The sequence below is a fragment of the Homo sapiens genome, chromosome 22 (assembly GCF_000001405.40).
Source record: "Homo sapiens chromosome 22, GRCh38.p14 Primary Assembly".
Classification (NCBI taxonomy): Eukaryota; Metazoa; Chordata; class Mammalia; order Primates; family Hominidae; genus Homo; species Homo sapiens.
Window position 1 is genome coordinate 25678012 of NC_000022.11, and position 16104 is coordinate 25694115.

Consider the following 16104-nt stretch of genomic DNA (forward strand, 5'->3'; position numbering starts at 1 on the left):
TTTAAAACGTCATAACTTAAATATCAAAATTAAAAATAAATCAATAAAATAGCATTTTAGGACATGCTGTTTTGAATTCATGCCTTCCCTTTCCATTTTGTTGATCATCACTGTTTTAGATTCTTAACCTCTATAAACTCTTATAAAAATTGACCACTGCTGGCCGGGCACGGTGGCTCATGCCTGTAATCCCAGCCCTTTGGGAGGCTGAGGTGGGCGGATCATGAGGTCAGGAGATCGAGACCATCCTGGCTAACACGGTGAAACCCCATCTCTACTAAAAATACAAAAAAATTAGCCGGTCATGGTGGCGGGCGCCTGTAGTCCCAGCTACTTGGAAGGCTGAGACAGGAGAATGGTGTGAACCCGGAAGGTGGAGCTTGAAGTGAGCTGGATCGTGCCACTGCACTCCAGCCTGGGCAACAGAGTGAGACTCTGTCTCAAAAAAAAACAAAAAACAAAAAACAAACAATTGACCATTGCTGAATTCACAATTCCTAGCTGCTAAATATATACATATGCCCTTATTAGTCATAATAAAATTATTTATGTCCATCTACTTTATCATTTATTTAACTGGGACTTCTATCCATTTAATGATACAAATATCTTTTAAGTATTGCTTGATTTTGTTTTCACAATACATGCAAAATAAAAATACTTCTTGCATGGCGCTTGGGTATTACTCTGCTTCTTTTAAACATGGCCTAAATGTTCAGAAACTTGCCCCAGAGTGACATATATTGTTTAAATTAGTCTAGATATATTTACGGCATAGATTTTTCAATAAATTTATGTTTCTAGGTATGCAATGAAATGCTTAGATAAGAAGAGGATCAAAATGAAACAAGGAGAAACATTAGCCTTAAATGAAAGAATCATGTTGTCTCTTGTCAGCACAGGAGTAAGTATTCAATTTCCAGCATTTCTTTTAAAAATGTTTTGTTTGTTTCATAGCAGGATGATTTATTATTTTTCCTTCTAGCTGATTGCAAGGCCAGTGAGTTCTTGGGTGGGTTAGAATCTGATAGTATCTCTTTATTTGATTTTGCAAGTTAGAAGAACACCAGCCACCTCCATTATGCACACCCATGGCTTCTCCGTTTAGTGCCTATTTATTTGTCCTTGACTTCCTTCTTTGCAGAATATGGTAGTAGAGATGGCAGAAAATAATGATAGCCAGAAAAATCACTGGAATATAGTCAAGACCTGACTAAACGACTGGCAAGAAGGACTAACCTAGAGGGGAAAAGTAAGAGAAAAGTGGCTTCTGTCCTTCAGAAGCGAATCGAGAGAAGCGACTTGGATTACTCACATCCGAATTGTCCTTTTGAGATTGTCCCTAGTCAGCGTTTCACTGGAAGGTGATCTTACCTGCCTCTCACTACCTGCTACTCTGTTTATCAGCCTTTCCATTTCTAGCACCATATTTCTACTTATTGGACACTTTCTTTGTATATTAAGCTATCATTTTTAGCTCAACATGTGTGACCCCACTTTTACCCTACATCTTCTTTACTTACTAAATAGCTGCCCATTCCAATTTCTTTTTCTGTTAATGGTATTACCCAAGATCAAAACCTCAGCTTTTATGTGTCTGTACAGATGCCAGTGTATGTGAAGACACATCCAAAAAACCCGTCCTCTCAGTACCCTGTTACAGCGTGTGTGCACTGGTATGGCTGTGACCTGGTGTTCAGAGTGGGTTAGGGAGTCAGGACAGAGAGGGAGAGGCATGGGGTGAGCGTGGAGGGGCCAGACACTAACTAACTGTGTACCCCACATGTGAATGAAACCGTAGATACTCCAGCCAGGAAGGTTTATATTCAGTGAGAAATGTGCGAGACTTCTAGATCCCATGGCTGGATTTTAAGTAAGGTCTTCACCAAAAGGATCTGAAAAAACCAAATTTTAGTGGGTAATGAAAGAATCCCTTTCAACTGCTGAGCAAGTAACCTGAGACCTAGAGAGGTTAATTTCCTTCCCCAAATCTCTAGACTTTTTGGCCAGTGCTCCTTTTATCATCACTTTATAGGCTGTATGTTTTTTCGTTTGTCACCTGTATTTATTGTATTATGGTTTATATTATTCTGTCATTAAAGTGTTTCTGGAAGAGGTATTTGCTATTGAAGCAAAAGAATAGCATAATGTAGCTAAGTTACAACAAATGGAAACCCCATAGCCATAAATAATTTCTAATTATGTGCCTTGACCTCCCACTGTATGGGCATTAAGCATTTCAAATAAGAGTTGCTTTGTGTGTGTGACCAAGTTTTTAACTGATGAGAATGGAAACCAAGCATCCTGCATACTCTGTTGGAGTCAGTGTGAATGGCATTGGCTTTTAATTTCTATTGGAAATGTCTGTATCCTAAATTTCAAACGTGGATGTGAGTACTGGATGAAGATTTTAAGTGGTTATTAAAATATTAATTTTCAGTGAGTTATCTCAAAGCCTTGGATATTTATTCTCAAGAAAGCCTATAGAAAATAAACGTTTTAATGTTGGAAAAACATAAGTATAGTTTTCATGTAATATTTTTATATTGATTTGACTCAGGTGAGAGGAGATGTGGTTAAGTGGTTGTGTAGTTTCTCACTGGTGTAACCCTAAAAGAGTAAATTAAAAAATTAGGGTTATTTTGGGCTATCACTTTGAACTAATTTAAAAGAATTATTTGTATTTTATTTAGATATCAAAACTGTATGGTATTTTTAAAATTTATAAATGCATAATTTAACAAAAATAATTATAGTAAAGTTATTTGGAATTGTTTTTGCTAATCAGGGGATACTTTCTATAGTTTTTAATAAAACTTAGTTGAAAATACCCTCATTAAGTGAAGCTTTTGATCAGACTGTATCGGCAGGCTTTCCCGTATTGTGGACATGTAACTGAAATGCATTCACTCACCACAGTTTTCTTTTTACTGGAAGGTTTTTTTTTTTTTTTAATCTCAACTTGAGTATTCCTACCCATCTCCCCAAAAGACAGTAGGAAGTACTGTTCCCGGTTTTCTTCTGTAATTCTCAGATGGCAAAAAAGGAAATATGCATGTTGGAGAACCAGCATAAGCGTGTCCACAGCTGTGAAGAGCAGTCAGCAATTCATCCAGTCAGTCATTTAAGTTCCTCAGAAGCGTGACTCATTTATTCCCTGAACCACAGTTGAGGATTTAGGTTGAACCAGGCACTCTGCGGCAAGCTGGGACTGTGGTCCCAGTTCTTAGTTCTCATACAGCTGCATGGAAAGGGAAAAGATGTATTATTCAAATGATGACGGAAATGTATGGACAACTGGGACCTGTGGCAAGAGCTATGGAAGACAGGCACACAGTGCTCGGAAGGCCTTTCGCAGGGTGGAGATGGGGTCAGCGAATGCCTTTCTGAAGTTGGGGGTTACCTGGAGAGGAGCCAGTGCACGTGGCTCCTCTGAGCCCAGGCACGTGAGGTTGGGGGAATCAGATGAGGGGCCAGGGTCTGCGGTGGTGGGGGGAGTCGTGCAAGACAAAGCTGGAGAGAGACATGAAGGCCAGGCCAGACCGTGAAGGGCATCGCCGGCCGATCTTGAGGAGCCTAAATGATCTGACTGCAGTTAGAAACCAAGTGTTTTAACTAGAGAGAGACCATAATCAGCCTTGCAGTTCACAAAGATTGCTCCGGCTGCAGTGTGGAGGATTTTCTTCAACAACGACTTCATGGTCCTGTTTTATCACAGTTTTTTTATGGCGAGTTCCTGCAAAATGTAAGCTATTTTGTTGACTTTTAGTAGGAAATCAAAGTAGACAGTTCCTTGCTCAAGAGTTTTACTTAATGGTCTACTTCTAAAAATCCACTTTTATTCTGACTTGTAATCAAGGCAGGCCGTCTTATCCATAATTATCCTTGGAACTGTATCCCACCCTTCATTAAATTGCCACTTATTTTTTCATATTGGTCAGTATTCGGTTGTGTCCTGGACTCCACATGAAACCCATTATAGTGTCTGTTCAGCACCCCGAGAGGTGAGGGTTGCAGTAACTGATTTCTGTAGAGATAACCACATCTGATTCCTTCACCTGCGTGTTTATTTTACATCGAGTCAAAGATAAATATAGTTGGACTTTAGTTAAAGCATTTATTTGGTAATTAAAACAGCATTTATTTGGTAATGACTAGACAGTAAGAGAAATAATGGAGCTCCATTCTGACTTGTGCAGAGGTGACCGGATGTTTTAAAGGGACAGTGGCCTGTGGAGTGCAATGCGGGCTGGAGCAGAGTCAAGGAAGTGAAGAATTTTACAATGCAGGAAGGGGCATGGTCCATATGGGACCCATCTGGGTTTGCTAACTGGGACTTATCCAAGTTAGACTCCTACCCTCCCATGGAGGCTCGGAGATAGGGGCTCTATCTTTGAGTGTTTGCTGGAACAAATAAAAATTCTTTGGGAAGCCTTGATTTCTCTGAGGCAGTCATTTTAAGGGGGGCTGAGCCTCCTAGGGATGTGGTCTTGAGCTGTTAGCTTTAACAATGCAAATTCTGTTTACAGATTATGTTGAAATTTGAACATTTTCTTTGGAATTTAATAATTTTTTGTGTTCGTTAAGAAACAAGATATAGACAATCTAGGCCATTTTAAAAACTGAATCAGTTTAGTGACAAGTATACACTTTATGTAAAGAATCTAAGTGGATTTCATAGATAAAATAGATCTAAATAGAGCTAATAGATCTAGCATAGCACTGATGAATTTTCATAAGGGAATACACGCATCTCCGGCACCCAGATCAAGAGACGGAAAGTTACCAGTATTCTAGAAATCTCTTTGTGCCTCTCCCAGTCACTAACCCTGCACCCAACTTAACTACTACCCAGATTTCTAACAGCATATTTTAGCTTTGCAAATTGTGTTTGAACTTTATAAATGTGCCCTTCTGTGTTTGGCTTCTCTCACTCCATGTTGCTTACAAGATTCATCTGTGGTGTTGCCCACGGCTGTAACTCCCTCCTGTAGCTGTGCAGCAGAGGTCAGAAAGCCAGGTGTGGCTCAGGCCAAGTCTAGCTTGTTGGCCTTATTTTATAGAGCCCATTACCTAAGAATGGTTTTTACATTTTTAAAGGATTGTAAAGAAAATAAGCAAAGAATAATAGATGACAGAGATTATATGCGGCCTGCAAGGCCTAAAATATTTACTTTTTAGCCCTTTGCAGAAAACATTTGCTGATCCATGATCTATATGGCATTCTAGTGTATAAATATACCATACTATCCATTCTACTGTTGGTAGACATTGGGGTTATTTCCTGGCTTGTGCTATTTTGAATGATGCTGTTTTGAATATTCTTGTCCAGGTATCTTGGTGCACATAAGTACAGATTGCTATTAGATGTCTACCTGGGAGTGAAATCACTATGTCAGAAAGCTTGCAAGTGACACTCAGCCTTGGTAGATATCACCAAATGGGTTGCTAAAGTGGCTGCACCATTCGTTGTACACTTCCAGTGGCCATATATGAAAGTTCTATTCACTGTATATCTTCCCAGCACTCAGTATCGTCAGTGTTTTTCTTTTTAGCTGTTCTCGTGGGTTTAGTGATGGCATATTGTAGTTTTAATTTGCGTTACCTTGGAGACATCGAGGTTGAGCATCTGTTCATTAGTTTGGGGGCTATGTGGTATCCTCTTACGTGAATTGCCTATTTTTTTTCCCCATTTTTCTGGGGGTTGGTTGACTTTTTTAAGTTGATTTTTTAAAGTTCTTTGTATATTATAGATATGAGTCCTTTGTGTATTTATGGGTTGCATATATCTTCTCCCATCCTGTGGCTTGTCTTTTTACTCTGTTAATGGTATCCTCTGATGAATAGAAGTTCTTAATTTTATTTTAGTCTAATTAACATTTTTATTGTTACTGCCTTTTGTGGCCTAAGAAATCTTTACTTACCCTAAGATCATGAAGATATTCTCTTTTGTTTTCTTCTGGAAGCTTTATTGTTTTATCTTTTACACTTAAATCTACATCAGCTGGAAATGGCTGTAGCGTATGGTGTGAGGCAGGGGTCAAGGTTCATATTTTATTGTACAGATATTCAGTTGCTCCAGCACCACTGATTGAATAGACCTTCCTTTCCCCAGGCCCTGTTGTGTCACCTTAATAACAAATCAAGTGACCATTTATGTGTGGGCCTATTTTGGATTCCCTTTTCCATTTCATTGGTCTACTTGTCTGTCCTTGGGCTAATACCACACTGTCTGAATTACTGTTGCTTTCTAATAAGTCTTGATATCTGGTCCTGTAAGTTTTCCAGCTTTGTTTGTATTCAAGAATATTGGAACTTTCCTTGACTGTTTACATTTACATATATTTTAGAATCCAACTTGTCAATTTTCATTTCAATTAAGATTGCATGGCATCTATAGCTTAATTAGGGGAACACTGAAATCTTTACAATTGAGTTATTGAGTCCTTGGTCATGATAATAGTTTTCCACTTTCAAAAGCTAATTTAATTCCATTTTTATTCTCAGTGTTTCAAAACAACGCCACAAATAACATTCCTCCCTCCCTGACCCGTGCTGTGATTCCATTAACTTCAGAAGCAGAGATTGAAATGGGTATTTGAATAGCCAGAAACAAAATGTTGACCAGCAAAAAGCCTGGCAAGATGGTGATATGTTTCTGTATCTAGCCTTTTGAAGAGGATATAATTAGGATAGAGACATGATTGAATCCAAGCAAGAAAGGACCTTCAAGGTCATCTGCTCCAATTATTAATGTTGTGTCTCTATGCATTTTATTATGTAACCAGCTCCATTTTACTGTGACTTTAAAAATTACCATATAGGTGTTGGTGCTCAATGCATGGGGTGGCAGCTTGGATAAAAACCCACAGCATATATTGTATATTAAAAAATAGCAAGAAGAGAGACTTTTGAAGGTTCTCACCACAAAGAAGTGATAATGTGTGAAGTGATGGATACACTAACTACCCTGATTAGATCATTATACAACATAGATATGTGTCAAAACATCAAACTGTACACCATAAATATGTACAATTGCAATGTGTCAATTAAAAAATAAAGTAATTTTAAAAATATGTAGCATGGTGTTTGGTGGTAGATGTGCTTTCTAGGCAGCTTTTGCTCTTCTTATAAACTTTTATTGTTTCACTCTAGGACTGTCCTTTCATTGTATGTATGACCTATGCCTTCCATACCCCAGATAAACTCTGCTTCATCCTGGATCTGATGAACGGTAAGCAAAACTTGGAAAATCTGAATGCCTTGAAAGACTTTGCCATGATGTTAAATCTTAGCATGCATTAATCTAGGCAGACTGGCAATGTGGGTCTTTCAGGTAATTAGGTTCCCCCTGAAGTTTGAGGAAACCTTTTACCCTTTAATCTTCACTGAAAATTCATTTTTCAATGTTGACTGCAACGTCCTTCTGGGCCTCCCAGTCTCTTCCCAAGAAAAGATTCTAGAAAAGATTATCATGAAATACTTACAGTGAAACTTGATTTTCTGGAATGCAGCTGGCCTAGATCTTTAATTAGCTTATTTCCTGGCCCTCAACTTTTAGGAATGAAATACCTCATAAGAATATAGGCCAAAGATAGAAATGTATTTAAAAACCAACTTTGAAGGACTGACTTTGGGCCAAGTACAGATTTTAGCCCAATCTTCTGCACCTTCTAAATCTGCACTACTGTACATTGATCTTTTAAACTGTGGATGATGACTTTGAAAATGCTGGAAAACGTTCAGCTAGAAAAGGAGCTTTCTGATACTAGAAGGTGTCATGGTATATATCTAAAGTATTTTTAGTAACAAGAACTGAAATAAAGCATACAATTCACAACTCACATGCCTAGTTTTTTTTTTTTTTTTTTAAGTTCACTTGAAGTTTTATCATGTTCTGAGTGTTTGATTTAAAACCAGATCTAGCCGGGCACGGTGGCTCACGCCTGTAATCCCAGCACTTTGGGAGACCGAGGCGGGCGGATCAATGAGGTCAGGAGATCGAGACCATCCTGGCTAACACTGTGAAACCCCGTCCCTACTAAAAATACAAAAAAATTAGCCGGGGGTGGTGGTGGGCGCCTATAGTCCCAGCTACTCGGGAGGCTGAGGCAGGAGAATGGTGTGAACTCAGGAGGCGGAGCTTGCAGTGAGCCAAGATTACGCCACTGCACTCCAGTCTGGGTGACAGAGCGAGACTCCGTCTCAAAAAAAAAAAACAAAAAACAGATCTACCCCGAAACAGGAAGGAATTTCACAGCGTAATAATGAGCAAAAGAAGCCAAACACCAAACACAGCAGCATCTACCCTAGGTAACCCTGCTTATGTGACTGCCAAAACAGGCAAAACTAATGGATGGGGAGAGAGGCCTTAAAAGTGGCCTTTGTGTGAGTGGGGCTTGGGGGTAAGGTCTTGACTGAAAGGGCATAGTGGTAGGGGAGCTTTTGGGATGCTGGGCATCTTTTCCATCTTGATGTGGTGGTGGTTTTACAGGAATATGTGTATGGAGAGAGAAATATGCTTGCGAAAGCAAGGGTAATAAAGTTGGACACACATTCATTTTTATAAATCAATAGAGGCTTTTCCCTTGTATTTTATAAAATCATTCCCTTACCCTGTTGACAGCATTCTCTGTCTGTGTAATTTGAGGCCATCTGATAATTTCCTTTCTCCAGCGTTTTATTATGAAAAATTTCAAGCAGATAGCAACATTGAAAGAATTTTCCTGGGGACACCCACCACCTGGATTTTTTATCAGTGAAAATTTTACTGTATGTGCTTTGTCAAATATCTGTCTGTATGATCAGTTTGTTGTTGTTGTCTTTTGAGACGGAGTCTCTGTTGCCCAGGCTGGAGTGCAGTGGCGTGATCTTGGCTCACTGCAATCTCCACCTTTCAGGTTCAAGAGATTCTCCTGCATCAGACTCCCGAGTAGCTGGGATTACAGGCATGTGCCACCACGCCTGGCTAATTTTTGTATTTTTAATAGAGACGGAGTTTCACCATGTTGACCAGGCTGGTCTCGAACTCCTGACCTCAAGTGATCCACCCACCTCAGCCTCCCAAAGTGCTGGGATTATAGGCATGAGCCACTGTGCCCAGCCTAGTTTTTTTTTTTGTTTGTTTTTTTGTTTTTTTTTGTCTATCCATAGAGCCAGTTGCTAAGCTGTCTGTTGGATCACTCCATGGGTTGATTCACTTACTAGGATTTAGGTAATCAAAGCAGGTTAGCTAGTCCCACCTTGTGAGAGCAGAACTAGAAGCTGAGCTGTCAGCCTGAGAATGGTGGCTTGGTTTTGCTGTCTTGTCCTTCCTGTCATTGTATTTAAATCTTCTCAATGTTTAAGTTTTCTCTATAACATTTAAGCTGTTGCTAAACTACAGGAATGAAACATAGGTATATAGACCAAGCAGAAGCATAGTTTCCCTTTTTCTGCTGAGTCCTGACTATTTAGGATGACAATGATATTTGTTTCCTTTAAATTAACATGCTTTGAATTAAATTCTGAATCTGATTCCAGGGGGCGATTTGCACTACCACCTTTCACAACACGGTGTGTTCTCTGAGAAGGAGATGCGGTTTTATGCCACTGAAATCATTCTGGGTCTGGAACACATGCACAATCGGTTTGTTGTCTACAGAGATTTGAAGGTGAGGACGATTGACAGACTCATTCTGCATAGTAGGTATTGTGTGAATGGTCCTCTAGAAGTCCCCTTCTATTTCATAGAGTCCTGTCATTTTCCTCATAGCCCTCATCTCAGCCCTGATGAAGTCATTAGCTATATGACATTTTATCTCCTCTAGACCAGACTCTGCGGGGACGGAGCGCATGTCTGTCCCTGTCATTATTATAACCCTGGTGCCTACTACAGTGCCTGCTGCAGCACGTATACTAAGCCAAATATTTAGTTGATTAGTTAATGAAAAGCAATTTAGGCCAGGTGCGGTGGCTCATGCCTGTAATCCCAGCACTTTGGGAGGCCAAGGAGGGCGGATCACAAGGTCAGGAGATCAAGGCCATCCTGGCTAACACAGTGAAACCCCGTCTCTACTAAAAATACAAAAAATTAGCCGGGCGTGGTGGCAGGTGCCTGTAGTCCCAGCTACTCAGGAGGCTGAGGAAGGAGAACGGAGTGAACCTGGGAGGCAGAGCTTGCAGTGAGCTGAGATTGCACCACTGCACTCCAGCCTGGACAACAGAGCAAGACTCTGTCTCAAAAAAAAAAAAAAAAAAAAAGCAGTTTAGGAGCCCTTTTGGTGTCACCCATTTCATAGTTAATTATAATTCAGCTAATGTTCACTAAGCAACTGATTTGGTCGTGGCTCTGTAAAGGGCTGGAAATGTACAATGATGGATAAGCAAAGAACATATATTTTATGGGGCTTAGAAGCTGGTGAGCTAAGACATAGAATGGCCGAGTCATAACTCCTCCAAGGCAAGGTCTATCAGTGAATAGTGGATGCCAACCAGCCTGCGGAATTTCTCTCAAAGGCCACCCTCACAGCTTTACATTGTTTTGAGATTGCCTTAAAAATCACTGATAGAGTTTTAGATCCTTGCACTGTGTAACCTCCAACTGCTGTGCCCGAGTTTCTGTTCTTGTCCTCTGTGAGAGCTCACTCACCTTGAAAGCAATGATATAGGAGTATTCTGAGTTTTTCCATTCCAGAACGCGGTGCTTGGTCCTGGGTTTTACATGTGGGAAGGAGGTAGAAGCTGGCTCAGGGTGTCCATGGTGACACTCACCTAGTTGTATGGCCAACAGCCTGCAGGCAGGCATGGAGAAAAAGGGACCTTGATGAATTAATGATTGCGCAAACATAGAAATGCGTAAATTGTAATAAGAAAAATGATGGGACTGACAATTTGCCAATAGGCGAGAAGATTCCAGGAGAATGTGTTTGCCTCTCATTTCAGATGCCTTCTTGAATGAACCCACAGTGGCCAACTGAAATGTACAGATTATGTTCCTTCCTCTAGGGAGCTGAGATGCTGTGATTGGCTTTTGAAGATTACTTTCTAAGATATTATAAAAATTGTATTTTATTTCCAAGAATTTTTTTTTTTTTTTACAAAATACTTTGTGAATTTTAAACCTTTCTGTAAGGTTACAGAATTATTATTATTCTCTTAGTTTTCCTATAAGCATAAAGAAGAAAAATGTATTTTTATTGAATTAGAAATAACTAGACAATAGTTGGCCCTTGACATTTTATTTCCTTATGCGAGCTTTGCAAAAGAACAAAACACATGCTGACGGCCCATGAAGCGCTATTGTAATACATTCTAATTTAAATCAGTAACTGGTTTCTAATCATCTTTATGCTTTATTTTTATTTTCTAAGCTATTTGGAAGGCAGTGGTATTATTTAATTTCTATTCAAACTTAATTCTAGTCACTCATGATTATTCATGCTTCAGTTTTCTAATAGCATGCCATTTATTTTTATTTCAAGCAAAACAATAGTTGATCGCCAGCAGAAAAATATTAAGATGACTATAATTCAATGTATATCCGAGAGACTAGGTTTGTTTTTCATGATTATGATGACTAAATCTAATCTTCATGGATACATTTCATCAGAGTTGTGGTCAAAATTATATTTGGTCATTTGGTAGGGCCCTATGTTAATGATGTACTAATAAGCAGAAATGACACTTATTGGGATTAGTGTGGCACTATGGAATATTTTGATTGCTTAGGTCAGTGTTGATACATTCTTAGAAACTTCCTGTCTGTCCTGTGCTTCATGGCTTTACTCTTAGAAATCCTTGTGGTTCTCAGAAGCCCAGAAGCTGGTGGACTCACCTCCTGCCCTTGAGAGGCATGCTGTTGTGGCTGCGCAACAGTCCTTGGTACAGTGAAAAGGAAATGCTTTTAATGCTGATGAACTGTTCCCAACATTCCTGTGTTACCTGCCCCATGTTTCATTTTCTAATGAGTAGAATCCTTCGCCTCTGTCATTACCACTTTGCTGCTGAAGTTAACATGAAAGATATTATTCTCAGTATCATGCCCCACTTTGATGTGATGGGCTAAAGCTATAATTTGTGTTTAGGAACAAACTATGATAAAATAGTGAGATATCAGGTGTCTGCACTCAAAGTTCTCAAAGCCTGCATGGCATTTGGGGCACTCTTATTAAAGATTATTCTCTTTCTGTTTAGCCAGCAAATATTCTCTTGGATGAACATGGACACGCAAGAATATCAGATCTTGGTCTTGCCTGCGATTTTTCCAAAAAGAAGCCTCATGCGAGTGTGTAAGTAGTGCGTCAACTTCAGTTCACCACCATTTCTCTCCTGCCCTTTCAAAGGCGTGGCCATTTGTCACCCCATTTCTCTTACCAGTGGTGATTTTCAATATGTCAGGAAGATCCAACATCACAGGTCGTGGGAAAGGAGATAAGAACAGGATGCCTTCCTCACTGTCTGCGGAGAGCAGGAATTAACCCACAGTGGAGTTGAACCTGCTCAGGGACCAGGGTGGCCTCTCAGAAACAGTCAGGACCTCAGCAAAAAATCAGAATCCATGCTACCTGTGTGACCCTAAAAGTCAGTCAGTTACTTAGTCTGTTAGTAATGGTAGTAATAAACCCCTCAAAGTTGTCCTAAGGATAAGTGAAAGAGACTGTGCCTAGAAAGGCACCGGGGCAGCTGCGTGGATGTGGTCAAGGGAGGTCCTCGGGGCCAAGTTTCTGTCTTCATCTACTTTTCCTTCTTTTTCAAAAAGGCTTTTCTTCTTTTTTTTTTCCCTGAAGAGAAATTAGGAATATTTCTTTCTTTCTTTTTTAATTAAAGAAACAAATCATCTGCTTGCAGTTTAGGCTTTCACTGCAGGCCATATTGTTAGACTTGGGTCTTGCACCAGGTCCTCTACGTGATCACCCAGAGGGAACTCTTGAGGCCACAGCTCTCAGCCAGCACCTGACACCTCGGGGACACCAGACTGCTTCTGGGTGTGGCCCTGCTTGATCAGTGCAAGTTGGCCCTGACCTGAGGACTTCTCTCTGTACTCGGGGTTGTTAAAAAGACAGCAGGACTAGGGCAGTTCCCCCGGGGCTCTGCAGAAACACCATGGAACGTGCACTGGTTTTCATTTCTGTTTCTTTGGTAGGTGATGATCTGGGTGGAAAGTATGAACACATGTACAGTTTGTGGAAAAGCAGACAACTTTTGCTTTATTTTGTCTTTTTAGATGTCTCCTCCTTAGCACTGAATCTTTTAAAATTACATTTTATTGACATCTTAAGCTAACATTCATCTCTGTGTTGACTGGTCTTGAAAAAAAACTCCCAGTGGTCTCATTTCATGCATCTGTGCAGAAAATAAACCACAGATCCTTCTCTTTGTGTAACTAGAAGTAAAGTGGTTCTGAACTGCAATACTTTATGAAGGACTGCATTAAATCAAAATTGCCTTTTAAAGCTCTGATCAAATGTTAATAGTGAATAGCACCGTTTCTGTAAACATATTTCTCTTTTTCTACAGAATCTGGGATATGGTGATAAAAGCATTAGCATTTTGCTAGCACTTTACAATTATTAGGCCAGAACCTGTGGTCGTATAAGCGTCTCTCAGGGAGTTCATCAGATTCTTTTAAGAGAGTCATTTGAATTTTTAATGCCACAGTTATTTGGTATGCTAATTTTTTCAGTTTAGTATAGTCATAACTAAATATGAATCCAAGAGTTCATAAGAAATAATCTTCCAGAGGAATTAACTTTCAGATATGGGGTTATTTATTTCCTAGCAGGACCTAGTCCACTTTTTGCTATAATTCACATGTCAGCTCTGAACGGTGGGCTGTTCTTTTGCCTGCTCTGGATAGTACAATATTTGAACAGCATCTGTAAAGAGGTAGGACTGAGAAGGTTGGTTTCCATGTTTAAATAATGATCAGGAGGCTACTACTTTAAAAAGGTAAACATACAACAAAATTTTATATTTTTTATTTTTTTGAGACAGGGTCTTGCTCTGTCTCCAAGGCTGGAGTACAGTGGTGTGATCACGGCTCACTGCAGCCTCCCCCTCCCGGGCCCAAGTGATCCTCCCACCTCAGCTTCCCAGGTAGCTGGGACCACAGTCATGTGCCCCAACATTCAGCTAATGTAAAAAGAAATATTTTTTAAAGACGGGGTCTCCCAATGTTACCCAATCTGGTCTCTAACTCCCGGACTCAAGCAACCCTCCCACTTTGGCCTCCCAAAGTGCTGGGATTACAGGTGTGAGTCACTGTGTCCTGTCAAAATCCTGTATTTTTAAATAAAGGAGGCATTTTGTGGCTAGGAATAAAGGCTCTGGAGCCAACAGATCTGGGTTTGGGTTCTTCTTCCTAGTTGTGTCAGCCTCATTGTCCCTTCTGTGAGGAGGAGAGGACAATGATATTTATCTCCTGTGATAGTTGTGAGGATTAAGTTAACTAAATAATTCAGCAAGTCTTTATTTAACATTTGCTGTGTGCCAGCTGCTGGCGATGCCACGGTAAGACAGAGCTGACCTCAGACCTCCTCGAACGAGCAGCCCTGAGAACTGTGTCCCCTAAGTGACCAGCATATGGAGTAGTGGCGGTACCAGCAGCATTCACTGTGTCACTCACTGAATATCCAGCTGTTCCAGGCTTGCATATGTCATCTTCACGGAAAGCCCATGTATTTATAGGTGTCACTATCCAATTTTTGTGGTATGGAAATTGAGGTTCAGAGAAAGTAAGTAACTTGAACCAGGTCACATGGCTGGTATGCCATGGGGCTAGAATTATAATCCAGTTCTGTCTGATTCCAAAGCCTGTACTCTTTACGCTGTGTGGATGAACTCCCTGAGGCTTTGGCATGATCTATTTAGTACAAGACGGAAGATTTTTAGCCACAATTTCACCCTGAACTTGGTTTCTCAGATCTTTTCAAAGCTGTAGATGTGATTCTTAGATTTCTTCCAGCGGCTGGCCCATCTCCAAAGTAGTATTGTAGTTGAGGTTTTTGATTTGAGCTTAGACTTAGTCCATTTAACGAAAGAATCGCAAATTATTGTAAACTAGAAGTTAACTGTGAAGTAGCCATGAAAAAATCGCAGGAAAACTTTTGGAGCTGAGCAGATTGTCAGTGACTAATTTGAGTACTAGCTTATTTTATCTAAGAACACAAAGCTGTGTCTCATGTCACAGTGTCTTAAAACGTCCAAGTGTTCGTTCAGTATTAATAGTAGTACAGATCTTTAGCAGAATGCGTCAGGAAGCATTAGCAGCTGCCTTAGGCAGAATCAGAAAACCTCAGCAGCAGGCAGTCCAAGGTTGAGTTTTCCTTGTATGTGGTAAAAGCATGGGGGGCTGGTCTGCATTCATTTATCTTATTTATCCTGTAGATATCTATTGTAGATATCTTTCCATTCCAGAACTGTGACTTGATCCTGATAAGTACAGGTTACAAAGTCACGGAAAAGGACTTTCCAGGCAACCCTGAAATTAAACCTTCCCGGAAAATGGCTTGGATGTCCCTCATAGAAATCTCCAACGCTCTCACAGCGTGGCCTGATGACCTTACCCTGTCAAACTTTAGGTTCGGGCTGATTGAGCTTTCCAGAATGCTGGATTTGCCCTGATGGACCAACGCCCATTTTCACTGTTGGATAAAACTCTCAAATACACCTCTTAGACAGAGAGTACCAGACCCATGATGACCCAGGCTTATTAGTGATCCAGGATCATTTATTCTGAGTAGATTCTCACTGTTGCTGAGCATAAGCAAGTTAAAAATTCTTTTTTTTTTTTTTTTTTTTTTGAGATGGAGTTTCACTCTTGTCGCCCAGGCTGGAGTGCAATGGCACCATCTCAGCTCACCATAACCTCTGCCTCTGCCTCTGCCTCCCAAGTTCAAGTGATTCTCCTGCCTCAGCCTCCCGAGTAACTGGGATTACAGGCATGCGCCACCACGCCTGGCTAATTTTGTATTTTTAGTAGAGACGGGGTTTCTCCACGTTGGTCAGGCTGGTCTCAAACTCCTGACCTCAGGTGATCTGCCTGCCTTGGCCTCCCAAACTGCTGGGATTACAGGCATGAGTCAGTGCACACGGCCTAAAAATTCTTACACTAAGATAAGC

At 40.4% G+C, this 16104-nt stretch overlaps 1 protein-coding gene across 5 annotated transcripts in view; it reads left to right on the forward strand.

Annotated features, from left to right (window-relative positions):
• GRK3 (G protein-coupled receptor kinase 3) overlaps positions 1-16104 on the forward strand; it is a 164620-nt gene that overhangs the window by 113337 nt on the left and 35179 nt on the right. For all 5 annotated transcript variants that reach the window (NM_005160.4, NM_001362778.2, XM_047441167.1 and 2 more), the window contains 4 exons: positions 805-904; positions 7159-7237; positions 9526-9656; positions 12178-12272. In NM_005160.4, the coding sequence (NP_005151.2) occupies positions 805-904; positions 7159-7237; positions 9526-9656; positions 12178-12272 (405 nt within the window). The remainder of the gene's footprint in view (positions 1-804; positions 905-7158; positions 7238-9525; positions 9657-12177; positions 12273-16104) is intronic.